Source organism: Homo sapiens, chromosome 14 (assembly GCF_000001405.40).
Source record: "Homo sapiens chromosome 14, GRCh38.p14 Primary Assembly".
Taxonomy (NCBI): Eukaryota; Metazoa; Chordata; class Mammalia; order Primates; family Hominidae; genus Homo; species Homo sapiens.
This window is the reverse complement of record NC_000014.9, coordinates 63253252-63281247: the sequence shown is the minus strand read 5'-3', so window position 1 is coordinate 63281247 and position 27996 is coordinate 63253252. Positions and strand designations below refer to the sequence as shown.

At 42.4% G+C, this 27996-nt stretch overlaps 1 protein-coding gene across 3 annotated transcripts in view; it reads right to left on the bottom strand.

Moving 5' to 3' along the window:
* RHOJ (ras homolog family member J) overlaps window positions 1-27996 on the bottom strand; it is an 89066-nt gene that overhangs the window by 12261 nt on the left and 48809 nt on the right. For 2 of the 3 annotated variants that reach the window (NM_020663.5, XM_047431613.1), the window contains exons 2-3: window positions 12080-12138; window positions 113-277 (exon numbers count right to left, since the gene is read on the bottom strand). In NM_020663.5, coding sequence (NP_065714.1) covers window positions 113-277; window positions 12080-12138 — 224 coding nt within the window. The remainder of the gene's footprint in view (window positions 1-112; window positions 278-12079; window positions 12139-27996) is intronic. The other variant, XM_011536993.4, reaches the window with a different exon arrangement.

Genomic DNA, 27996 nt, shown 5'->3' with positions numbered 1-27996 from the left:
ATGTCTGAGACACACTTCCATAGCGTTTGGCAGAATAGGATGTTCACGAGGTACCTAAAGGGTCTTCCCATTTTTGCAGCCCGCTCCACCCTGCCATCGCCCACATTTTAACCTGGGTCCCTATGAGGACATAAGGCACGTGAGGCATGCAGTCCTTGAGCTCGGGGACCCATTCCTCCTGGACATTGTGGTAAGAGGCAGGGTTTACGACAGAGAAGCAGATCAAAAACACATCCGTGTTGGGGTAGGAGAGTGGCCTCAGCTGGTTGTAGTCCTCCTGTGGGAAGAGCAGACAAGGGTTTGTACAGCCTGTGTAAGGTGTGTCCCATGTAGTTCCAAGGTCAGATTTCAGGTAAGAGTCCACTACAGCGCACTGGGATCCCGTTTCTTCCTCAACCCTGGAATCTGGTAGTTCTTTCTCTACTAGAACTAAAGGAGCCATCAGTCAGAAAAATACCTTTTTGTTACGTACAGAGATTATGTATTGCCCCTTCTTAAGATGAACTTAAAATATTTTTAGCAGTTTTATTGAGATATAACTTATATACCTACCTATATATACCATAAAGTTCACCCATTTATTTTTATTTTTAAATTGTATACATTTAAGGTGTACAACATGGTGTTTGATATACATATATATGCTACAGTGAAACAAATTAACATATTCATCTCCTTACAGCTTACCTTTAAAAATATATTTTACGGTGAGAGGACCAGAGACCTACTCTCTTAGCATATTTCCAGTATGCAATATAGTATTATTAACTATAGTTATCATGCTGTATATTACAGCTGTAGACTTATTCACCCTAGCTAACTGCAGCTTTGTACCCTTGATCAAAACCTCCCCGTTTCCTTTCCTTACTTGCCTCTGGTAACAATAGTTCTACTCTCTGTTTCTATGTATTCAAAAGTTCACCTGACCAGGCACAGTGGCTCATGCCTGTAATCCCAGCACTTTGGAAGCCAAGGCGGGAGGATCACCTGATTCCTTGAGCTTGAGATCAGCCTGGGCAATATAGCGAGACCCTATCTCTACAAAAAAATACTAAAATTAGCTGGGCATGGTGGCACACGCCTGTAGTCCCAGCTACTCAGGAGGCTGAAGTGGGAGGATGGCTTGAGCCTGGGAGTTTGAAGCTGCAGTGAGCCGTGATCATGCCACTGTACTCCAGCCTGGGCAACACAGCAAGACCCTGTCTCAAAAAACAAACAAAATAAAACAAAAGACCAAAAGTTCACCCATTTAAAGTGTAACATTCAGTAAAGATTATTGCAATTCTTCCATCATGTTGGAATTGTGTTATATTGAATATACTATATTTAAATTAGTGAGCTATTTGCCAAGGCAACAGGAATCCTCTCCTCACACGATTAAAAAAAATTATATCCAAATTTAATTTAGAATAAATGAACTAACATGCAAAACAAGAGTTATTGCCAAATTTGACACCACAATATTTGAAGAAATATGTTGAGTGAGGGTTTAGAGCTAAGAATTTTGGATTTGTTTCAAGTATTACTTAAAGGCCAAATAAAATGCTGGCTTAATTATTTTCTTTCTAAAGATTTTTCAGAGCAGAATATGCTCATGGAAGAGTTTCTGGTTACATAAGATATTTATGTATTTGCTATTTTAGTGGGAGTTGATAAATACAAAGTAAAACTGCGCATCATTTCGACTTTGGGAAAATGTTGGCAAGGGCTTTTACTGTATGTAAAATGTTTTAGGAGGTTCCACGGTAAAACCTGATATTTCAATAGAAAGTTTTATATGTTTTTATAGAATTTAGTAACACATAAACAGACAGTAACTTTGTGTGTAAGCGTGCATACACATACCATATTTATATATACATCACATATCGCAACATGACATGTGTCCATACACACCATACATAATTTGTATGTGTATACACACTATATATGATGTGTGTGCACTATATATGTGTGTATACTATATGTGCAACTAAACTTATATGTTCACACCTATGATATACATGTATTCATAGAGATGGGTTAATAAATAATTAACTCATTTATTAGGGGCATGACTACTCTTCATGAAACATTTCAGAAACTTACAAAACATGTATGTGCTCATTGCAAAAATGCAAACATTGAAGAAGTACACAGAGTTGAAGTGAAAGCTTGTTTTCATCCCTGATATGATGTCTAATAGTATTTCCTCTCCCCAGAGGGAGCTACTGCTTAAACATTGTCCTTCCAAACATTTTATTTTACTTTATTTTATTATTTGAGATGGAGTCTCAATCTATTGCCCAGGCTGGAGTGCAATGGCGTGATCATGGCTCACTGCAGCTTCAGACTGCCGGGCTCAAGCGATACTCCCACTTCAGCCTCCCAAGTAGCTTGGACTACAGGCACATGCCACCACACCCAGCCAATTTTTATTTTTTTTGTAGAGATGGGGGTCTCACTGTGTTGCCCAGGCTGGTCTTGAACTCCTGGGCTCAAGCAATCCTCCTGCCTCAGCCCCCGCCAAAGTGCTAGGATGATAGGCGTGAGTCACCATACCTGGCCCATTTTATATTTATGTATGTATACCACATACACATGTTTAGTTTAAAAACAAATTGATTAAATTGTTCATATTGTTGTGCCACTTGTGTTTTTTAAAACAATATATCATGGATATATTTTTAATATCAACCTTTCTATTGACTCTAATAATATATTTATTAGATAACGGGTTGATGGGTGCAGCAAACCACCATGGCACGTGTATACCTATGTAACAAACCTGCACGTTCTGCACATGTATCCCAGAACTTAAAGTATAATAAAAAAAATTTTAAAAAAGACCAGAAAAGGAAGTACACACATGTGCACACTACATACACATGAGACTGAAAGGAAGTACCTTAGAATGTTAAGTATGGTCCACTCCTGTTGGTGGGCATGCATTGATCTATTGTTTAGCTACTCAGAGTATGCAGAACACGGGACTCAGTATATGTGGCCACTACTGCTACTACTATTAAAACTTAAGCACAGGTTTTAGGTACCTAATGCAAAATGCAAAGCAAGAGGGCAATGATGCTGAAAAGTAAAATCCTAAAAAATAAACCCAAAACAAAAAAAACCCCCACTATTGTGGCTAATTTACCACATTTCTAGTCAATAATTGGGAGTTGGGTGCACAGCTGAATAATCACTGGTCATACTGGGAAGTTGTGCCAGGTCTACTGGGTTGCATCTCAGCCAAGTTGTGCCTATGTCTGTGTGTGTGTGTGTGTGTGTGTGTGTGTGTGTGTTTGTGTAGCTGGTGAGGCAGTGGAGAAAGGGATAGCTAAATTCTTGGCACTACCCTCTCCTCTTTACACAACTAGCTCTGAAAAACAAACCTCCTCTTCCATGGTCTCCCCACTTCTCTCTTTTCTCTCTGGAGTGTTCCCTTAAAGAGCAGCTGTAAGGCCCGTGAGCCAAGAAGTCTCCTTCCCAGGCTATAATCTACAGCTGTTCACCACACCACCTGCCCTCTGCCACTGCATGCTCCCATCTGGATTGTCATAAATGGAGTAGGGACCATGTTGATTTTTTTCTCATCCCTACAGGTACTCTTTCCGCAGTAAATATTCAATAAATGCTATTGACAGACTGGAAGAAATGACCTCTACAGTGACCTGCAAATGAACACGTGGCACTTCTGTGGGCCATTTATTGCAGTGACTTTTATTAGAATCACCTGGGGAGCTTTTAAACCATCCTGAAGCTCTGCTAATCAACTCCTTGCTCCACCCCCTTTTCTACTCTGGAACCAGCTAAATTAGAATCTCTGGAGAGTGGGCCTGCGTATCTGGGAGTTCTGACTTAATTGGTTTGGGGTGGACCTGGAGTTGAGAACACGGCTGTACTTCACTATCATCTCCAACATTAATGGAGGATGCACCCAAGGGGTTATTGCTAAAGGTCAGCCATTGTTTCAAACTCTTATGTATGTTCTCATTGCATCCTCCTGATGGAACTGGAAGGATGGTACCATCAACATTCACATTTCATAGAAGAGGAAGTTAAGGTTTAGAGAAGTTCCATGATGGGCCAATGTTACAGAGTTCATAAATACCAGGATGGGGTATTTAGCCTAAATCCAGCTCTGGCTCTCAATTGTGACCACACTGTTTTCTGCAGCTCAGAATTTAAAGTGACAGATTAAGCATTTTCTTAACTCACTTATCTAGGAATCTTGACTCATATGTTACCCAGCAATCAAAATGTTTGACCACAGGATGGATCATCTATTTGATGGCCTGCATCTGCTTCAGATTACCACTGGATGGCAGCAACACTGTATATTTAAAACTTCAAAGCCAAAAACCAAAGCAAAACATCATCAGGAGAAATGTCACAACTAGATTGGGTAGGAACAAATAACTGTTGTTAATAGTCGGAAAGGAGTATGCTTGTCTGATTTTTTAACCCAGTGGCTATCAAAGGATTTCTATTTACATTATGGAAAAGTTGGAAGACCATGGGTTGCTGGGTTGACTGTAGGTGGGGCAGGTGAGAGAAGTCTGTTTCTGATCATTTACCCTCCTGGCCCTCCAGCTGAGTCGTTTTTGATAGTGTCAGTCACTGGGCTCACCGTGCTCTGTATTCTGGATCTCTCTTCTGTGGAAACCTTAGTCCTGCTGTATCATTCCATTTAAAAAGATTTCGTGCCTACTGAATGCGTAGCACTGTTGAGGATGCTGTATGAACTATATAAGGTGAATAAGAATTGGCAATTCAGTTGGGGAAAGAAAATGAAAATACATGAAATTATTCGATTTATGTGGAAGTAAGACAGGTTAAGTTTCTCTTACTCTTTGCTGGCTAATCTCAAAATGGAATGATGTAGAATAGTTATCTGACTGAATTGGGAAAATACAATTCCAACACTAGAAAAGGCCTTAAAGATTAGCTAATGCAGTGGTTTCCAAACTACGCTCTTCAGTCCAGCAGCATGGGCATCACCTGGGAGCTTGTTAGAAATACACATTCCCAGGTGCCACGCAGCCCCCGCCCCCCCCCACCGAAGCTGAGGCACTGGGGGAGAGGCTGCACCATCAGTGCTGTAACAAGCCCTCCAGGTGATTCTGATGCAGCTCAAGTTTCAGAACCACAGGTGACTGTTCTTCCCTCTCCCCTGAGCCAGTTTTATGGTTTAAGAAACAAAGGTCTAGACAGATGGAGTAATTTAACCAGGACAACAGAGCAAAAATACTTTTAAAGAAGGCTCACACCTGGGCTATTGGGAGCTAACCCTGGGCTACAGCTATAAAATATGGTAAAGGGGTCAGGATTAATAAAAGAAAGTGTCCCCTTGGGACTGGGGGTTGGGGGGAGTTGAATTTGTGCCAGCTGGTAACTTAATATTTTTTCACAAGGGAGCATGCTTTGGCCCTGGGTTAGATGGTAACAGGTGGAGATGATGTCAAGCGGCTACGAGAAGTGGATAAGTGGTTTAGTTGGTATTTGAGGCCCTTTCTAATGCTGAAATTCAGAATGGAAAACAGGTGCTTATTTGCTTCTTGAAGAGACAGCGTTTTAATCTAAAAGAGAGGCTCAAATGGGGCTTTGGAGGTAAAGTAGACAAAGAGGCTAGGATTGGGGAGTGCAGGGAAGGATTTGGGGCAAAGTAGGCCTTTGAGTGCCTTTAGCCCAACTTCACCCTGAAGGCAAGAACATGTTCAGTTTGAAGGCAGATCTGGTGCTCTGGGGTGACTGTGGGTGATTATGAAACACGAAAAGTTCAGAGAAAGTGTTAGCATCAGATGCGCCAAACACCTGGGCCCTAAATATTATAGGCTGCATCATGACACAGGTAAGTGAAATTATTTTCTAGATAGCACTTCTTAGACACTACATATATTTGCATCACCTGTGGACCTTGTTAAAAATGTAATTTTGTTTTTGTTTGTTTGTTTGTTTTGAGATTGGGTCTCACTTTCTGCTCACACTGTAGTGCACTGATCATAGTTCACTGGAGTCTTGAACTCCTGGGCTCAAGTGATCCTTTCTCCAGCCTCCCAAGTAGCTGGGACTACAGGTATGCACACCACGCCTGGGTAATTAAAAAAATGTTGTAGAGATAGGGTCTCGCTATGTTGCCCAGGCTAAAGTGCAAATTCTTATTCAGTAGCAGGACTGGAATGGAGCCCAAGAATGTGCATTTCTAGCAAATGTCCAGGTGATGCTAGTGCTACTGGGTCCAGGGGCCACACTTTGAGCAGCAAAGAGAGGCGCTGAGCTCCTCCCACCCCGCCATACCCACATTAATTTGGAAATAGAATTCTGCTTCCAAGTCTTGGGTTTAATGACATTTATCTCAGATTTTTTGGTACAAGTCTCATTTTCATATTCACCCATAAATCAGGCTTAATTTGAAAAATGTGGGCACCATGTATAGTGTGCGTGCATAGCATGGTGCTTAAGAACATGGGTGGTGGGTAGAAATTCTCTGGGTTTGTGACTATGGTGTGATCCTGGGTAAGTTCTCCATGCCTCCCTTTCCTTATCCATAAAATGAGGCTAATAGTGCTGGCCTTATGAGTTGTTATGAGAATAAAATACGTTAATATTTGCAGCCACTTAGACCATTGTCTTGAACATAGTAAGTACTTTAATGATCCAGTAAAAGAGTCCGTCCTCCAGCCCATATCAACAACAGCTGCTGGTCCTGGAAGCATTTCCCTACCCTTATTGGATGCCAGGGCTGATTCAGAAATTAACTTTTTCTGAACTGAGTAGTAATAAGACCCAAATGTTTGCAAACTCCAACTGCAACTCTCAGTGTTCCTACAGCTCTCTTTTTCATAATTTGGGGAGAAGTAAGATTGTGTCCTGAGGTTGCTTTTACTAAGCAGCTGTCATGTGGGCAAACTTCTCCCTAATCTCCCAAATTGCCTACTCCTGAAAATCCCACATGAAGATACACGTGAGCAAGAAATTTGGAGTTGCTCATTGAGGGAAAACATTTGTTCTGAGGTTTTAGGCAAACTTTCCATAGAGGGTTGCTGCCAGATCCTGTGCTCCAGATGGCCCCATTGGATCAGCCAATAGCAAAGGGGAAGGCTTATGTGTGTCCTTCCAAGTGGAGCCTGGGTTGCCATTCATAAACCCTAGCTGTGCTTGCTTCCTTGCTTGGTTGCGTGCTTCCTTAGCCATTGGGGGAAAGCGGGACTTCAGAAATCAGGGCCTGGGGGAGATGTGCAACAAGCAGCCCTGGGCGAGTGAGGGGCTCGGCTGATGGCCTTCCTTGCTTCTCTACTCCCACAGACACTGGTGACAGCTGAGCTGCTGTGGGCTGTGGTTTCTCAGTGACAGACACCATTCTGTGCTTGCCCACATGCAGTGGTTCACCCTTCCACAGAACCAGGCGCCTGGCCAGGCTGCACCTGGCTCCTGACACCAGGAGACGGTCATTCCTCCCTGGCAGTGCTGCTAGCTGCCATTTTCACAGGTGTTGTGTCTGAGATATGCCCATCCTAGAGTCTTGCCCAAGAGGCCACAATCTGAATAGGGCTTTGCCCACATCATCCTTCTAGGTGAGGCCACATCAAGAGAAGGAGGCAAGACCTTGTCTTAGTACTATGGCTGGTTCCACTGTAATGACCTGCAGTGAGGTAGGAGGACATCTGGCTGCAAGCCATAACCTGGGAAAGAGCCCTCTCCCAGTCTGAAGTTCCTCAGCTGGTGAATGCCCAGGGTTGGCTGTGGCGTCCCCAACCCAACCAACACCCTGCTGTCCACTTGGTCTCTCCTGAAGCATTGTAAACAAACTGGCCTGCAAGGACATCATGGGAAAGTCAGCTCTGGGACTCTTTCATAGCTGAGCCAAAGATCTGAGCTCTAGATATCCCTTTAACATTCAGTAACACACTACTAGGGATATGTCTCGTACAGGATGAGTTGGCACAACCTAAATAGATTTGGCTTACAGGGCTGGTTGGCCTTATTTCCTTCCTAGTGTGATCTGAGAAGTAACATGCACTCACCCTGAGAAAAATTCCTCAATTCATTGCCTAATCTAATGTTTGGAATTCTACCTAACAGGGAATTAAACGGAGTTGTGAAGAATCTATCTTCAAAGGGCTCCACTCCAAGTCCAAATGTTAGTTTGTTTCAGGGTTTGGGGAAGGGAGCTAATGTTTAACAGCAGCCACCACATGTTGACAGTGTATGCAAGTGACTTCATTATAAACTCTCTTTCTTTTTTGAGATGGAGTTTTGCTCTTGTTGCCTAGGCTGGAGTGCAATGGTGCGATCTCAGCTTACTGCTACCTCCGCCTCCCAGGTTCAAGGGATTCTCCTGCCTCAGCCCCCCAAGTAGCTGGGATTACAGGTGCGCGCCACCATGCTCGGCTAATTTTGTATTTTTAGTAGAGATGGGGTTTCACCGTATTGGCCAGGCTGGTCTTGAACTCCTGACCTTGTGATCTGTCTGCCTTGGCCTCCCAAAGTGCTGGGATTACAGGCATGAGCCACCGTGCCCAGCCCATTATAAACTATCTTTAGCACATGCTTGCCTGAATTGCGGAGGGGCAGGAGTATCTCAGGCCATGGCTCATGGGGCTGTAGCCAGGTCTGAGGCAGACTAGGTGCCTCAAAGTCAAGGGAAAGCAGGTCAAATGATTTTGTTTAGCGCTGACATTGAGGGTTGAGACAATGAGTTCCTATTACTTTACCTCTCAGAACACATTTGCTTCAGTTAGTTCAAGACAAAGATGTGGAGGATTGCTTCTTGGTTTATTCACGCACAAAAATCTAATTATTCAAGCAAGATGGACTCTATAGCTGGATTCAGAGACATTTTCTTTTTGTGGTTCAGGGATTAATCAATTGGTTTTGAAATCATCTCTCTTCCATTGTAATTGACCAAATGAATATTTTGAATTATATGTGTTCTTTAGCTATCCAGCACATTTACTAGAATACAACTGAGAAGAGGCAGATTATTCTACCTAGGACTAGGAATGGAAATTTTGGGACACTGTTTCCAAATTAAATTTGTTACAAAGTCTTAATAGCTGAATTGTAGAACTACGGGGATACATTTCAGTAATGGTTATTTTCCATTGCATCCTCCTAACTTTCAGAACAATGCCTCAGCCACCAGAAACGTTTAGGTAGTGCTTCTCAAAATTTAGTGTGCATTCTAATGATTTGGAGATCTCTTAAAATGGATTTGCAAATTCAGTAGGCTGGGGATAGACCTTGAGATTCTGCAGTTCTAACATGCTTCCTGGTGATGTTGATGCCACTGGTTGGTGGACCACACTTTGAGTGGCTCTCAAAGTATGGTGTAGGGACCAGCAGCAGCATTGCCAGAAAACCTGTTAGAAATGCAAACTCTTGGGCTCACATCTGTAATCCCAGCACTTTGGGAGGCTGAGGTGGGTGGATCACCTGAGGTTGGGAGTTTGAGACGAGCCTGGGCAACATGGTGAAACCTCCGTCTCTAGAAAAAAAACACAAAAATTAGCTGGGTGTGGTGGCAGGTGCCTGTAATCCCAGTTACCTGGGAGGATGAGGCAGAAGAATTGCTTGAACTCGGGAAGCGGAGGTTGCAGTGATCCAAGATTGCGCCACTGCGCTCTAGCCTGGGTGATGGGAGTGAAACCCTGTCTCAAAAAAATAAAAAATAAAATAAAATAAAAGAAATGCAAATTCTTGGGTCCCACCCTAGACCTGTAGAAGCAGAAATTCTTGGAGTGGGGCACAGTAGCTGAGTTTTGACAAGCCCTACAGGTGATTCTGACACATACTCCAGTTTGAGAATCACTGTTCTAGAAAATGAATTACAAGTTATCCTGTAGTGTAACACATTCCCATTATTTAGTAAGCTTTTACAGCTGAAAGGTCTCCCATGGGTCTAGCCTCAAATCCTTTTGCCTAATTACTCCAGTTCTATCAGGATTTCTTGAGATTATATGTGAAAAGTCCTCATCACAGAATTTTAGGCCTAGAAGGAACTTTAAGATATATTCTGATTCCTTTTCCCCATGCTTTATGGTTCCTTTTGAGCCTTGTCTACCTCTGAATATAAAGCATTCAAGTGAGAGTTAGTTGAAAAAATATCTTATAATCTATTTGTTATATTTTATCAGTCTTCATCGCTTTTGTGTCAGAGGTTTGGGCCATTCTGTTTGCTTTGATGTGGAGTTTAAAGATATTTTTACAATGTCTTACAGCTTCAACTCTTATACCAGTATTATTTAAATTTTTTCTTAAAAGGACAGAACAGTGGGAAAAATAATTAAACTCCACAAGAGCTTTTAAAGAGTTTTATTGGATTTAAAATTAAACAGAAGCCTGTGGAGGTTTTTCTTGGGGCAGTTAACACACAGGAGGCAATACTTGTTGGATTGCTGCAGAAGAGGGGACAACTGACTGGGCAGCAGGGGACAGAGAGACTTTTTCGGAAGCCAGAGGGACCAGAGAGAGGTTTCCGAGTCATGACATAATCATTGCCATATTGAACTTTTCAAACAGGATTATATTAGTAAAATTTGACTATGAGGCAAGAGGGTATAAACTCCTCTCTCTTTCAGTCTATGAGTTCCTGATGAATGGGGACACCCCAGTGATTATGTGAGTGAATTAGAGCAGGCAACTTTGGCCTCCAAAGTGGTGTACCCTTGTTGCTGGAATGCTTTCTGTTTGGGGTATGAGTTATCCCGAGGCTCTTGTATCTTAGATCAGAGGGGCAAATGATTTTTTTCATTGGAGCACATGGGGGGCCTCCTTTCTTAGTCGTATGTCTTGCTATTGGCGTGAGAGGTTGCTACCACTCCCAGTTCCTGGCGGTAGCTTACCAAAACAGGCATCTGCCAATGAGGGGACGCCGGATGCTCTTAGAAGCTTTGAGTCTGGTGCTAGATTTTCCAGGTTCCACACCCTAGCCTGGCCAACACCAGCCTTTGATGTTCCACACACATTTACACAGTGGTCCTTACAAATTTTCACAGAAATCCCCAAAGAGAATTCCATTTATTTATATTCTTGTGAAGAACTTTCAAGTTGAGCAAAACGATGTATATCCAAACAATTGTGAAAAAAAAAAAAAAAAGGCCTAGACGAATGCATCGCTACAAATAACAATTCCCAGGAAACTCACACTGAGAAATAGCAGGGTAAAATGTTCACTCCAAAGAATTTAAGATGTATGAATTTGGACAGACTGAACAACCCGCTGATTTTGACCTAAATAGATGACCCAAGACATACGGTAACAAAAGCTCTATCCAAGAAATTGGGCTACGGCCATCAGTTGCTTAACCACTTCCCCTCCACCAATCCGTGAACTGGATTAGAACATTAGAACTTGAGAAACTTCGTAGCGATGTGTGGGATGCTGGGAAAGACAGATTAAGTGCCATTTTCACCCAAAAAGAGCATGTGCCAGCTGATTAATTGTTGAGGGTTTTAGCCCGTTGTCTTGTGTTATTGGTGGGCCAGTTTCTCCAACTTGAAGAAACAGTCCTGACAAAGTGAGAATATTTCAAGAATCTTAGGGAAGTTAGAGTCAACCTCCAGTTATTCAGGGTTGACTCTCATTTTGGAAAACATCTAGGATCCTGGCTTTTCTTCCTTCCAACACGTAATCCATCTTCTCCCTCTCTCCTCCCCTCACCCCCACCAATCTCTTTTTGGGCCTTTTCACAGTTCATTAGGCAATTCAAATAAAGCGTGGGCAAAGAAATAACCTGAAAAAACATGTGTGGAACTAAAATTTATGAAACTGACCTATGAATCCTGAATCTGGAATAGGTTTCCACAGAAAGAAATTGAAACTCGTGGTCACATATCTGTTATTCTGGTTTTTGATGGTCATCAGTCAAAAGAATCATTATTTACCTATCAATGCCTTGAATGATGTAACAATTTAGATTTTTGTAATTTTTAAAATATTGAGAATGTGCTTTTGGTCGTCATTTAGGCAGACAATAAATTGGCCCCAAATGATCAGAATGGGTAATATCTGTGCTATGAGTCCCATCTGCATAAGCAAATGGATCTTTTTCTCCCCTACACCACCGCCCTCCAATGAATCAAGATAATAAAAATGTACCTGTCCCGCGGTGTCATACAGTCCGAGCAAGTGTTGCTTGCCTCCCACAGTCACAGTAACTAGGGGAGAAGAGAAAAGAAAAGAAGAGGAGAGTCCATAAACACAAGCTTCAATCAGGAGCCTTCACATTGTTTCCATGCCAGCATCTCCTTGGGCAGCAAGAAGAAGCATATGCCTCGCTCATGTACATTCTAAACCAAGTTGACAGCATAATTTCCAAATGAAAGGTAACCTTGGGCTGCAGTGATGGCAGATGGTCTGAGCCAAGTCCAAATTTCTCAAAAGAGATGGATATTATTGGTGCCACCAGGACACTCTGTGGGCTACCCACTGATCCTTATTCGGCTCTAGAACACCAAGCTTCTGATGAAAAAGAATGCTGGGCCCCTTTTTCATTAGGTTATTGCCTTCTTTTCTTCGGTTTGAGACACCTTTCAGGGCACAGAATTGTGTAAGTAGCTTGTCTATTAGAAATCTCTCTGCTTGTATTTGTCTTTGAAATATTTATAAAACCCTAAAAACAAAGAATATTATCACACCTATTAATACATACTTTTATAGCCTATAAAGCAAGGCAAATAGTTAAATGAGAAGGGCTTAGCGTTCATTTTGAAAAGTTTTTTAAAATTAGATATTCCTGTGCTTTTGCACAATTGATTCATTATGATTTTGAACTTTAGTTGCAGAAGATGTTGTATGGGTTCAGTCTCACATACATAAAGGGCGCTTAGAGGGTGAAAAGTAGTGAGTTTGACTTAACTCAGTAGCTTACTACTTTGCCAAGGAATTGTGCCCTGAAAATGAGAAGGAAAACAGGGACAGCAACCACTCTGTACATGTCTGGAAATGAAAGTCTCAACTTGAAACTAAACTGAGATTGAACAGATTGAATGCAGGAGTAATAGAATTCTTTTCGTGAAAGGAAAGAGCAAATTTAAATTTCCAAAAAAAAAATTGAATCGCTTTTTGGAAAAAGGAAATAAAATATGAAGAAAAGTGTGAGTTTTTTCTCTTGTCAAAATGTGCAAATTCAGTGTGAAGATGATTTTTGATTCCTCCTATCATTAGCTGTGCAGGAAATGAAAGATAAACTGAATAGCAATCTTTTATAACCATATCTCTAACAGCCAAATTCTCTAGCCTGCTGCTTAGAGTTGCTGATTCGGTATTGATTTTACTTTTATTTCTTTTCAGGTTCATGGGCTACATGTATACAAGGAACTTCTTAATGGCTCGTTCTTTGAAAAGCAAAGCACTTGTTTAAAAGCGCTACGTCCCCAGACACTGGGAACTATTTTTATAATCTACTCAGATCAACGTGTGTTCAGCTTGATAACATGGCTGCAGCCGCTCAGATGAGCTGTTAAATGTGTATTTTAAAATGGTACACCCAGCTCCGTCCACCCCGGTTACCATGCTGACAGAAGAAGGACATTTAAATGTTTTCACTTCCTTTCACAAGTCAGGCTAGCAATAGGAATGGAGGTGAGGCTGTGTGGCCCAGAGCTCTTGTCCTGTTTAATTTTTCCTCTTCATGCACAATGGTAGAAGAGAGCCCAGTCAGATGTTTCTGAAATCTGCCTAAATGGTTTCTTCAATGACCAGTTCACTAAGTTGTCATGGATTAGGCATGAAGGGAGACATCCAGCTATCACAGCATGGAACCTTAGGTGAGCCCAGTACATGCAGGTCAGGGGCAGCTGTTCCAGAGACCCCTTAGATTGTCTCATGACATACAGGCCCGGGGCCATCTGTGGAGTGATTCCTAGAAGTCGAGTCATCCTCACTGCCCCACTGGGCACTGCAAATATTCCTAAGCAATGGCTCTGACCTATGTTATGGGAGCCCTGGAGTGCCTGTTCAGATAGTCCTTGCTTTCTCAGTCATTCTCTCCAGTCTGTTTTTCCTCGGGCCTCACCCTTTTCTCCTATGGCAGCTTTGATCCCTGGGAATTTCACCAGGCCTGAAGTGAGCACAGGAAGGTGAGGTGGTGGGCAGAGGGTCTGGACGAAGCTTTCTGTTTCCTCTGTTCTTTCCTTCTTCAAGAGTCTACCAGGTTCCTGGACTGAACTCAATGGTAGGAGCAGAAAGACCAGATTCAATTCTTCCTGCCATGGAGCATGGAGACAAGTGGTTTCCTGGTAAAGCATGGGCACTGTGCAGTGTGGCATGAGCTGTGTCAGGGGTAGTGTGAGGGGTGTGGGGGCTTGCGGCAGGGGCACTGCTGGCTGTGCATATGTCTGCACACACACACTGTGGAGCTGGATCAGAAAAGGCTTTCTGAGCAAAATATGAAAAGAGGAAGTCAAACTATCCTTCTTTGCTGACAATATGATTCTATACCTAGAAAACCATAAAGACTCTGCCAAAAGGCTCATAGAATTGATAAATGACTTCAGTAAAGGTTCAGGATATAAAAATCAATGTACAAAAATCAGTAGTATTTCTATACACCAATAACATTCAGGCTGAGAGACAAATCAAGAACACAATCCCATTTACAATAGCCACACAAAAATAAAATACCTATGTCTCTACAAGGAGAACTATAAAACACTGCTGGAAGAAATTATAGATGATACAAACAAATGGAAAAACATTCCATGCTCATGGATTGGAAGAATCAACATTGTTAGAATGGCCATACTGCCCAAAGCAATACAGATTCAACAGCCTTCCTATCAAACTACTGTAAACCAAAAACAAAATTCTAAGCACCCCAACTGACTGAATGGAACCCTCCTCTTGGTTAAGGGCATTCCAAAGTAAACCTGAAAAACTAGTTCAGGCTATGATGGGAAGCGGGGCTGGGTGGGACATGCCTCATCATACTCTCCTCCCTTTGGAATTTAGGCACAGCTGACCAGCATTAACATGAAAACAGAGGTCTTGTGACTGACAAAACAGGCTCTGTAGTAATAAGATACCAAATTGCAACCTGACTCTAGTATAGCATCACATGAAAGAGAACAAGCCTTGAAAGAAACCAAAGTATTTTCCCCTAAAATATCTTTGAGATATTTTGAAATGGCCTTGAAAAACTGTCTCTTGTCTACAGTCCATAGAAAATTCCTTTTCCTTTCCATGTCTTTTCCTGATCCAGGAGAGATTTAACTAAGAGTCTGGCACTTTCAGGGTCTGACAAGAGACGCTTACCGTTTGTTCTCTCTGAAGCCGGCTACCCAGAGGCTTCATCTATATAACTATCTACCTATATATTATATAGATAGGTTGCAGAACCTTGGTTTCTGCAACTCCCCTTATCTTAACTAGAAACATTTATTTCTGTTGATTTCAACTTTTCAGACAGAGCTTAACCCTTTCAACCAATTGCCAGTCAGGAAATGTTTAAATCCACCTATGACTTGGAAGCCCTTGGCCTTTCCAGGCCTAACCAACGTACACCTTACATGTACTGATTTATGTCTCTGTAACTTCTGTCCCCCCCTAAAATGCATAAAATCAAGCTGTAACCAACCATCTTGGGGACATGTTCTCAGGACCTCCTGGGGCTGTGTCATGGGTCATGGTTTTTATATTTGGCTCAGAATAAATCTCTTCAAATATTTTACAAAGTTTGACTTTTTATCATTGATACTACCAATGTCATTTTTACAGAATTAGGAAATACTATTCTAAATTTCATGTGGAATCAAAAAAGAACCTGAATAGCTAAAGCAATTCTAAGCAAAAAGAACAAAGCCAAAGGTATTACATTACCCTACTTCAAACTATACTACATGGCTACAGTAAACAAAACAGTGTGGTACTGGTACAAAAACAGACACATAGACCAGTGGAACAAAATAGAGAACCCAGAAATAAAACTGCACAGCCACAGCCATCTGATGTTTGATAAAGTTTACAAAAATAAGAGATAGAGAAAAGACACTCTACTCAATAAATGGTGCTGGGATAGCTGGCTAGCCATATGCAGAAGAATGAAACTGGACCCTTACCTTTCACCATATACTGAAGTTAAGATGAATTAAAGATTTAAATATAAGACCTCAAACTATCAGAATTCTAGAATAAAACCTAGGAAACACCATTTTGAACATTGGCCTTGAGAAAGATATTATGACTAGGTCCTCAAAAGCAATTGCAACCAAAACAAAAATGGACAAGTGGAACCTAATTAAACTCCAGATCTTCTGCACAGCAAAACAAAAACAAAACAAAACAAACTATCAACAGAGTAATCAGACAACCTATAGAATGGGAGCAAATATTCACAAACCACACATCTGACAGAGGTATAATATTCAGAATCTATAAGGAATTTAATTCAAGAAGCAAAAACCAAAAAACTTTTTAATAAAGACATGAACAGATACTTCTCAAAAGAAGACATACAAGTGGCCAACATGTTTATGAAAAAATGTTCCACATCACTAATCACCAGAGAAATGCAAATCAAAACTATAGTAAAATACTATCTCACACCAGTCAGAATGGCTATTACTGAAAAGTCAAAAAACAACTGATGCTGGTCAGACTGTGGAGAAAAGGGAAACCTTATACACTATTAGTGGAAATGTAAATTAGTTCAGCCATCATGGAAAGCAGTTTGGATATTTCTCAAAGAACTTAAAACTACCATTTGACCTAGCAATCCCATTACTGGGTATATATCCAAAAAAACCAAAGACCAAAAAACTGTTCTCCCAAAAAGACATATGCACTTGTATGTCCATTGTAGCACTATTCACAATAGCAAATACATGAAATCAATCCAGGTGTCCATCCAGGATGGATTGGATAAAGAAAGCCTTGTGCATATACCTCATGGAATACTATGTAGCCATAAAAAGAATAAAATCATGTTCTTTGTAGCAACATGGATGCAGCTGGAGGCCATTATCATAAGCTAATTAATGCAGAAACAGAAAACCAAATACTGCATGTTCTCATAAGTGGGAACTGAACATTGGGTACTCATGGACACAAAGATGGCGACAATAGACAGTGGGGACTACTAGAGTGGGGAGGGAGAAAGGGAAGGATGGGTTGAAAAACTAACTATTGGGTACTATGCTTACTACCTGGGTATGTAGTAAGCATAGTACTCAGGTGATCGGTACTATCACACCCCAAACCTCAGTGTCATTCACGATACCCATGGAACAAACCTACAGATGTACTCCCTGAATCTAAAATAAAAGTTGAAATTAAAAAAAAAAAGAAAAGGCTTTCTGGAGGAGGGGGTGTCTGAGCTGAGTTCCTGAGGATGGCCAAGAGCTACCCAGGGTGCACTGGGGGAGGAACAGCTGTGGTCCTGAGCTGCCCAGGGTGCACTGGGGAAGATGATGCCAAGAAGGTAGGCACACAGGGTGGAGCTGCCCTGGCTCACTAACTGAGGCTTCATTCTGATGGCTTTGTTAAGCTTTGAAGTCCTGAATTATTCTTTTCCTCAAAATGAGTAAAAGAGAATGACTTAAAATAATTTCCTTGAGTTAAGGCAAAATGGTGGGGGAAGGGAGGATGCCATTATGGGTGTGGAAGCCATGTTGGATGTTCAGCTTTGCTGTGTAGTGGCTGTCTAGTCTGTCTGTGTGTGGGGCCAGTACTGCTGGAGGAATCCTAAAAAGAGGGGGCAGAGCTTGTGCCCTTAACTTTTCATTTCCTCTTCTCGGCCCTTTTATTCTCTCGTTCTATCAGAAGGAAGATAAGTAGATCACACAGTTTATGCCAGAGGATGTCAAGGGACAGCCAGAGATAGATCAAATGTCAATCAAACATTGAGGGTTATACGGGTCATGGCTTCGTGAGTCCTTATCTTGGACTAGCAGTGGATGCCTTATTGCTTGCCAGCCTGTGTCCTATGAGGCTTCTTAATTTGGAAATCAGTCAGTCACACCTGCACAGAAGGAAGCTATTGTCATAAAATGCTAATGGTAAACATAGTGAGGTTCAAAGAGCAGGATCTTTCAAGTCAGATAGTTCTGTATTCGAATCCTATCATTGCTATTCATCACTGTAATGACCTTGAGAAAGTCACCTACCATCTCTGAGCCCCTCTTTCCTTATCTATTAAAAATGGGGGATAACATCACCTACCAAAGAAAGTACTTGTGAGAAGGAAATTAAACGAGAAAATGCCTGGAACATAGTCTGACCTATGGTGGGTACTAAACGACTGTTATTTTTCCTCTTTCAGCAAATGCTTACTGAACCCATTCTAAGGACAAGGACTAGCCTGTCTTGCTCTCCACTGAATACTCAGTGCACATTAACTGGCACATGGTGTGATCTTAATATTTGTGAATTACTAGTCATTTTCTACCCTATAATAGGTATTTAGATCTGTCTGATATTCCCCACTGGACAGGAAGATCCTTGAGGGCAGAGTCTCCATGCCCAGTATACCCCAGAGTACACAGCCAGTTCCTGGCATACATAATAGATGCTGAATACACAGTGCAGATATACAGCACCAGGGGCAGAATAAAGTTCTTCGAAATGTACGGAGGGGCAGCTTGAAGCTCCTGGCAAGATTGGAACTGCTGGGAAGTGCCTCTAGCCAGCAAATCTGCCTGGCAGACAGTGGTCAGACTAAAATCTCAGATCACCTTCTATTCCTGGAGCTATTAGTGTTGCTTTCTGAGCTTAGAGAGGTTTTAAAGAGAGTAGGTCAAATGACCTGCTAATGGCTCAGAGGGTTCTCTCAATAAAGTGTGAAAAGTTGTCAGTGACCTGTTAAGTATGTAAAATGAAGGTCCTTTCCCCCAAATCCATTAAACTCTTTACTCTCTTGTCTTTCTTCTTTGAGTGAATTGGAGTGGTTAATTTTGTGACTTGGTATGAGATGCTAATGAAGTCTAAGTCCTGGTCTTGCTGTCTTGAGTTCCACCCAGAGAGAAAATAGCTCAGGTAGAACTTACGTCTACTTCCCTTAGCATTTCAGTCATCTCACAAAACAGTGTGTGTTCTGCAAATCTGGATGAGGAAGTGTCGTTCATGCCCTGTAAACCATCAAAGCCCCTTCCTCATTGGGTTGGCTGTCTCAGCTGCCGAGAGTGGTCTTTTGAAGTCAATATGATGACTATAAGATGGCTTTCAAGAGAAATGTTGGAAATGTCAGGTCAGTTATAGGGACGCCTCCAAGTGCCGTTCAGTTGCTAGCACATAACCAGCTATCTGCATTATTGTGTCTAGTGTACTGTGTTTGCTAGTTAGAATGAGGCATGCCTGACTGTGGTGTATGTAGTACCACAAAGCTGCTTTGTTGGAGGAAGAAACACTAGATTCTGGATATAGCGAGAAATATAATTTTAGGAAAGTTAAAAACACAGCTTTCATGCGAATATAGGATGAGCACGTCAAAGATTTATTAACTCATTGGTGAGTGAACCGGTAAGATGGTAAATCTTGTTCAAAGAGCATTTTGAAGAACTAGGCATTTATAATATTTAAAAAGCAATGTTAGGCTAAGTGCAGTGGCTCATGCCTGTAATTGCAGCACTTTGGGAGGCTGAGGCAGGAGGATTGCTTAAGCTCAAGAGTTTGAGACCAGCCTGGGAAACAAAGTGAGACCCCATCTCTACAAAACATGAAAAAAAAAAAAAAATTAGCTGGGCATGGTGGTGTGTATCAAGTAGCCCCAGCTACTTGGGAGGCTGAGGTGGGAGGATGGCTTGATCCCAGGAGATCAAGGTTGCAGTGAGCCATGTTTTTGGCACTTCACTCCAGAGCTTGGGTAACAGAGTAAGACTCTGTCTCAAAAAAAAGGAAAAAAAAGAAAAAAGGCAATGTTAGCATAGGTGGTTAGGTTCAATAGAAAACTGATTACTGTCCTATAGAAAAGATAACTTTTGATGTTATCAAAAAGAAAGGTAAATACACCAGGAAAAATGGTTACAATATATGAGGGTCAAAGAAGATTATATCTTTGATACATAAACAGGTTTTCTAATCAATAAGGATTAACCCAAAAGAAAAAAAGAAAGAATATAGACAATTTACAAAGAAATAAATATAAAGGGCAAATTAACATTGGAGTGAAAACAATTTAAATTAAAGAGAGATACAACCTTGGGTCATTCAAATTGGCAATGACGAAGAGAAGAAATACCCAGTGCTGGTGAATGTGGACACTTCACACTGCTGGAGAAAATGCAAATTTATGGATTCATTTTTTTGGAAAGCCATTTGGCAATATAGATCAAAGCCTAAACAGGAAACATCTTTTTCACATTTGACTCGGCAGTCTTATTTCTGCAGTGTATCCCCCATGACAGAATAAAAGCTAATGTAGTGTTGATATAAGTACTATCAGGTATTTATATCAAGAGGGCATTTGGTAATTATGGTAAAAAAAAAAAACCTGTACATGTGTACAACAATGTGTATATGTAAGTCTATTCGTCATCAAAGTGTTTATAGTAGCTAACAGTTGGAAACCATTTACACACTCAACAATCAGGGATTGGTCCTTAACAGTTACGGAGCAGCCTTAAGATGGAACCTTTTAAAAAATAATGGGGAATGTGGTAAAATATTCAGGATATAATGTGCAGATAGCAGGAGATAAAATTCTACATGTATATGTAAAATAACCACAGAAAACACTTTATTTTTTCCATTCTTTGCTATCATGAACATGTAAAACAGTTAGAAAAACTAGTATTTGGATGCTCAGCAATCATGGTTATTGTGCTGTTGTTGATGTATATACAGATTGGATTAAATGTCATTTAACTTACCTCCCATCACTTAAATTCTATCATTTCTCCTAGATTGACTCTCAGAAGCTTTCGTCTTAGGCTTATCCAGATTTATTTTAGGCTGTAGGACCAAGCTTATAATTTTACGAGTAGAACGTGTGATAAATAGGTCTGCTGCAGTGGAGGTTTATAAACTGTGTATTGCAGAGCAACTCATCTTTTTCAGAAAACTATGATGAACCACTAATGCTCTACCTATACTTGCTTTCCAAAGGTACCAAGAAAATATTGTGCATTTGAGAATGTGGGAATTTGCCAAAATGTATTAGTTGTAAACTGAAAGAAATATATGAGCTATAAAGACAACATAGTAAATTAGGTTCTAAATATAGCCCTTTATTGACAATGTCTAGGTATAGTGAGATAAACTAGCCAAGTGAATATTTAGTGTGTGTTTCTGCTCTCAATAACTTCTTTTCCATATGATTACAATATAATTTGGAGACCATTAAGCTGTTTTTCTCTGTTTTCTACTTTGGTGCATGGTTGTCATCCTAAGATTATATTTACTTGCCTGTCTCTTTGTTATTCAGTCCTAGAATTTTATGTATTTGTGGTTTTTCCCTTTATTTATTTCATTTATCTTTTTCTAATATCGCCAGCCAGAATATGGGTTCTTTTTAGGTAACGAAACATAGGTTCTTTTCAAATAAAAATAACGTAACCTTATTTTTTATTTCTTAATATATGTCAAGAAATATTCATGTCTGCTGATTCACATTTGATGGTTAATTATGATTGGGGAGGATTGTATATATGATAATTTGCGATAAAACAGCGGTTGGATCCTTTCTGCAATAAGTATATGCAAGACCATCTTTCACTGTTACCTTTATTATTAAGTATGTTCTCAGAATTTGTATAAGGTAAGAAGTCTACCACTTCTCTGTCCTTGTTCACATATTTTTCCTAATTGTTTTCCTTCAAAGCACCTACAAATAAAAATATAATTTTTGGGATGCTTATCAGCAACATAAAGTGCATGGCTAGCTACTCCTCTTAAGGAGAGTTTCAAAGCTGGTGAAAGGATGCACTTAATGTTGACTCCTTTCAGAACCTATGTTATGCGTTGTCACTGAAAGATAGAAAGATGCCTTGTGCATATTTGGCTCCTGGGGTCAGTAGGTTCACTGGATTAGCAATCTGAGGATTTGAATTTTTATTCTTGGCTTTGCTGATGTGTTTCTGCCCAGTTTTAGGTAAGGTACAATTAATTCACTAGAATTTCTGTGCATTTAAAAGCATTTAAGGCTGAGGAGGGTGGATCATGAGGTCAGGAGTTTGAGACCAGCCTGGCCAACATGGCAAAATCCTATCTCTACTAGAAATACAAAAATTAGCCAGGCGTGGTGGCACGCACCTGTAATTCCAGCCATTTAGGAGGCTGAGGCAAGAGAATTGCTTGAACCTGGGAGGCGGAGGTTGCTGCGAGCCAAGATCATGCCACCGCACTCCAGCCTGGGCAACAGAGTGAGACTCCATCTCAAAACAAAACAAAGCATTTAAAAAATGCAACTCAAATATAAATGGGAACCATGTGGTACATTCTCATGGTGGCTTCACATACAAGGAAACACACAGTACCTGCAGCCAAAAATGCTTGTAAACCATTCTGATCTCACCTGAAAGATAAAGACACCAGAGTGGATTCAAATCCTGAACCATAGCACTGCTTCTTAAAACCACCTTCTTCTCAGAACTTTTCATGGCCTGCCACAGCCTTGAAGCTTTGCTTCTACCCTCTTTAACAGCATGCCTGTGTAAAGGGTTTAGTCTCCTTTCTGGCAACTCAGGAAAGCCCAGGGCATGGCTGGTACCCTCATACTCTCCTTTGGGCTGTTGGGGAGAGGGAAGCTGGGTGGCCAAGGGTGCTTTCTCTCCTCAGTCAAAGGAGGGGAAAATAGAAGGGGAATGATGATAAACTTTTATAATTTAATACTTTTTCTTGTAGTCCCAACATAGAACATTTATAATACTATATATATATATATATTTTAAACAGTTCAAGGGGTTATTTGCTAAACTCTCTTATTATACTAACCTCATATCTTTCTCTTGGAACCTGTAGATGCTCAGCTGCGTAAAGTATGACACTGTCAAGGCTAGCATGGGTGGCTGAAACTGCAATCTCTATTAGACCAGAAGGTTAAAGGCTCCAGGATAGGAAAGGGAATTAGAAATAAGATGATAGCCCTTTTTTTTTTTTTTTTTTTTGGGACAGAGTTTCACTCTTGTTGCCCAGGCTGGAGTGCAATGGCGTGATCTTGGCTCACTGCAACCTCCACCTCCCGGGTTCAAGCGATTCTCCTGTCTCAGACTCCTGAGTAGCTGGGATGACAGGCGCCCGCCACTGAGCCTGGCTTATTTTTGGTATTTTTAGTAGAGATGGAGTTTCACCATGTTGGCTAGGCTGGTCTTGAACTCCTGACCTCAGGTGATCCACCCGCCTCGGCCTCGCAAAGTGCTGGGATTACAGGTGTGAGCCAGATGATAGCCCTCTTGGAGTCAGTCACTAATGGGTTAGAGGCAAAGTGAGGTTGTGCCAGGGAGCCCTGTGGATGAGGGGTTGAGACTTCCCCTGGATGGAGGGATGTGAAATCACCTCCCCTCCTCTGTCCCCGTGGAGCAAGGTATTCAGGACCTGGCACGGGAGAAAGGCTGGGGAGGGGTGATATTCAGTGGCTTTGCCAGTAACTGCAGAGAAATGACAGCCTTGTGAAAAAAAAAATCAGAGGAGGGGAAAAAAGTCATATTTGCAGGGGAGAAGGATGGGGTGGGTGGGGAAGGAATATGGTGAGGAAGGAAGGAGGATGTAGGGAGCCGTGGGCTACTGTAACCTGAATCCATCTTTGAAAGCACCTCCTGAGAAGAAGGGGCTGGTTCAGTCTGGTTTCCTAGGCTGTTCGGGCCTGGCTCACAGCTTCCACGGTATCTTCATTGTTGCCCTAACCTGACCTCGTTGCTCAGATAACTTTCTGACCTGTGGCCTCTCTCTGCTTCCATCAGTCTTGACCTATGACCCTTCATCTGGGAAAACCCAAATGAATTCTGGAGGATTGTTAAACTTCTTGTCTAAGCTGGCTCTGCCTGGAAGGGCAACTCAGCCTGAGCTGGGCTTGGCTCTTGAGTGGATAGGGGTCAGGGATGCTGGGGACTGGGTCGGGGTGAGCTGGTAAAGAGACTCTTTTTTTTTTTTTTTTTTTTTTGGAGACAGTCTCACTGTGTCACCCAGGCTGGAGTACAGTGGTGCGATTTCGTCTCACTGCAACCTCCAGCTCCTGGTTTTAAACAATTCTCCTGCCTCAGCCCCCTTAGTAGCTGGGACTACAGGCATGTGCCACCATGCCTGGCTAATTTTTTCTTTTTTTTTTGGGACAGAGTCACGCTCTATCACCCAGGCTGGAGTGCAGTGGTGCAATCTTGGCTCACTGCAACTTCCACCTCCCGGGTTCAAGTGATTCTCCTGCCTCAGACTCCTGAGTAGCTGGGACTACAGGTGCATGCCACCATGCCTGGCTAATTTTTGTATTGTTAGTAGAGACAGAGTTTCACCATGTTCGTCAGGCTGGCCTCAAACTTCTGACCTCATGACCCGCCTGCCTCGACCTCCCAAAGTTTTGGGACTACAGGCGTGAGCCACCACGCCTGGCCATTTTTTGGTATTTTTAGTAGAGACAGGGTTTCACCATGTTGGCCAGGCTAGTCTTAAACTCCCGACCTCGTGATCTGCCTGCCTCGGCCTGCCAAAGTGTTAGGATTACAGGCGTGAGCTACTGCACCCAGCCAAGAGACTCTTGTCACTTCGGTCCAGCCTATTCTTTCCTGGGGGGACTGGTACATTACTGAGCCCTGCCCTCCAAGAAGGGACTGGCCAAGAGACAAAGGATGTTACAGAAGAGCCACGTGTGAGTATGATTGGGGTGAGCTGCAGTAGCATACTGACTACCTTTGCTGTCGCTCTGGCATCCCTATCTTGTGAAGCTTACGCCTCTCCCTCCCCTCCAATCACAAATTTCTAATGAGGGCTACACAGTGGGACTGTGCACTCTGATCCACAAGCTCTTGCTTAAAGGACAAATGTCTAGCAGAGTATTTGGCCCACTATAGGGATTCAACAGATGGATAATAAATAAAAGAATATTTTTAGTCACAGAGATCTGATGCCGGCCCCCGGTTGGCATATAGTGCAGGGAGTAAGTGACACAGGGATGAGCTATGGAAGCATGTGGTTGAGGAATAAGGGATAAACACGTGGCCAGGCATGGTAGCTCACACCTGTAATCCTGGTGCTTCAGAAGGCCAAAGCAGGAGGATCGCTTCTTGAGCCCAGGAATTCAAGAAGAGCCTGGGCAACTAGCAAGACCTTGTCTCTACCAAAAAAACAAGCAAACAACAACAACAACAAAAAACAGTTAGCCAGGTGGCACGTGCCTGTACTCTTAGCGACTTGGGAGGCTAAGGCAGGAGTATTGCTTGAGCCCGGGAGTTGGAGACTGCAGTGAGCTACTACTGGGCCACTGCACTCCATGCACTCCAGCCTAGGCAACAGAGTGAGACCCTGTCTCTTAAAAAAGGTAAAAAAAAAAGGATAAAGGTGCCATAATGATTTGCGAATGCCCCAGTGACACAGAATATCCTTCTGTTCATGGTAGAGTTGGCATTCTTGGTGAAGTCAAGGCCAGAGCCTCTTCTTAAGGCTGCAAGAAATGTGTGGCTCCAAAACAGAGATAGGAAAGCTCACACCTGGATTGGTGGCCCTTCAGTTGAGTGTGAGACAGGGCGGCAAGCAGGGCTGGAGCTGTTTTCTCCTCCTGCTGCCATCACAAGTGCATTTGAATCAGGAGCATGGAGTGGGGGAGGGTAAGGCTGGGGGGAGGTGGGGCTGGGTGGTGGTGGTGGTTCTTGTGAATGTGAAGGTTCTATTTCAGATGGTCTGGTGGGTCCTGAGAATCTATTTTTCTAATAAGCTTCTAGGTAGTGCCCTTGCTACTGGTCTGCAGACCCCACTTCAAGAGACAAGGCTCTCATCCTTCCCTTAAATGTAGCTTCTCTGAGCCCCTAAGGTGGTTGACAGTTACGTATAAAGGGAGCAGTGTATTCCACAAAGGAAATGCAGAGAGGCAACTGGGTCAGGACAGCAGCTGGAGTGCTCATCCTTGCCCCATCACTAGTCACCAGACCTTAAGAGGGTGGGGGCATGGTCCCGGATGAATTCCTGCAGAGAGCTGCAGGGACCTGCTGTGGGAAGAACCTCCCAAGAGGGCTGATGGTTACCTCAGGGGGGGATTTGAGGCGTAGAAGGGACTTTGGCCAAAAAGAGATGAAAGAGATGAAATTATAACAAAGTAACCTTAGGTCTTGGAAAATTTTCTCTTGCTCCCCTGGGTCATTATTAAGGGGATCATGGCCTCAACATTTGAGAGCGTGAGTAAAGGGAGGGAAGTGAGCGATGGGGGCCAAGAAGGCTGGGAAAAGAGCCGCTTTTCTGTTGTTCAGTCCAATATTTCAGTAGATTGTACCCAGCAGCTTGGATCGCTATAAAAACCCAACGTGCTTTCTTCTATATGGGGACTTCAAGAGTCCTTTTGAAGTTCTCTGACATAATTTTAAAGATGTGCTTCTGGACCTGTGGAAGTACCCACTGTTGCTCTCTGTCCATCTGTCCATCTGTCTACCATGGCAGCCTGTGTGGGCATGGCTTTAGGAGCAGCTGGGGAAGTTGCACATGTTTATCTTCTCTGGGTGAGCTCCGCTTTCCCTGCTTTCTCCTCCCTAGCCTTGGAAATTGGTATCCCGCTTCTCTCTTCTCCTTGACTAAAATCTATCCAATTTTCTTTTTTCCCCCACACAATGAGCTACTACAAATGCTTAATAGCTGACTGGACTGTGAACTCCTTACAGGCAAAGAGAAGCCTCTAAGGCCCAGCACCGTGCCTTGCAAGTAATGAGTATTCAATCAACGAGGTTTGCTGAATGAATGGATGGCTTAAATGCCCCCCTCCCCCAGGAGCACATACATTTCTCAGGGGATCACATCAAACGGATAAAGCTCTGCTAGGGATCTCAGGAGCATCTGGTGGACTGGAAGTGAGTTGTGGAGTCTTGTAGCTTTCCCAGCACCCAGGAAATCATAGCAGAAGGCCACGGTGATACTTTCTGGTGTGCATGCCAGGAGACCCAGTTGTTGAATTGAAACTGATCAATTCTAGAAAATAAGGAAGGCTATTGAGCCCATGGCTTGGGCTCACTCCAAGATAGACAGTGATGGAGTGTTTGGCCAGTTCCCAGCACTGACAGCCGAGACAATGCTGATCCGGTCCTGTGTGACATAAGGCAGCCATTGCAGTTGTCAATTTCAGGTCCTGGGGGATCAGCTCAAGACCTTGACCCCCACCTCCACAAGCGGCTGGCTCTACCATCACTCCAACCACTGTGCTGCCTGGGAACACTGTCAGGGACAGTTCTAGAGCTGCAGTGACTCTGCTTCCAAATCTGACTCCCAGCGAAGAGACAGAGAAAAAAACAGAACATACCTGCTAGTTACGTTCCAGACTTAAGAATTAGTGAAAATAAATGGATATTAGCCATACCTCCTGAGACAAACTCAAGCAGTGTGTGTGTGTTTTTAACTATCACATTGGTTGACCCTCTACCAGTCAACAAAAAATGTTCTCTTTTAGACTGTGCTGCAAGGATCAGATCTTCTGCTCTTTGACCATGGCATTTGTAACTAGTTGTTTTTGTCATATGATCTTAGAAACAGTAAGAAGGGAGTAGCCTTACAAATCAATAAGTGCTAACCTGCCTAAAAATAGAAATGGCTGGAGGAAAGCAGAGATAGGTAAGGAGGGGGAAGTGTCCTAGATGAATACAAGAAAATAACTAAGCAAATGATTTCAAATTTTATCTAGGGGCCAGGTACAGTATCTCATGCCTGCAATCCCGGCACTTTGGGAGGCCAAGGCAGGAGGATCACTTGAGGCCAGGAGTTTGAGACAGCCTGGGCAACATAGTGAAACCCCATCTCTAAAAAAAAAAAAATTAGCTACTTGGGAAGCTGAGGCAGGTGATTCTTTAACCCAGGAGTTTGACGTTATAGTGAGCTATGATTGCACCATTGCACTGCAGTCTGGGTGACAGAGTAAGACCCTGCCTCTAAAAAAAATTATCTAAAGCCTATATGCTTTCAAA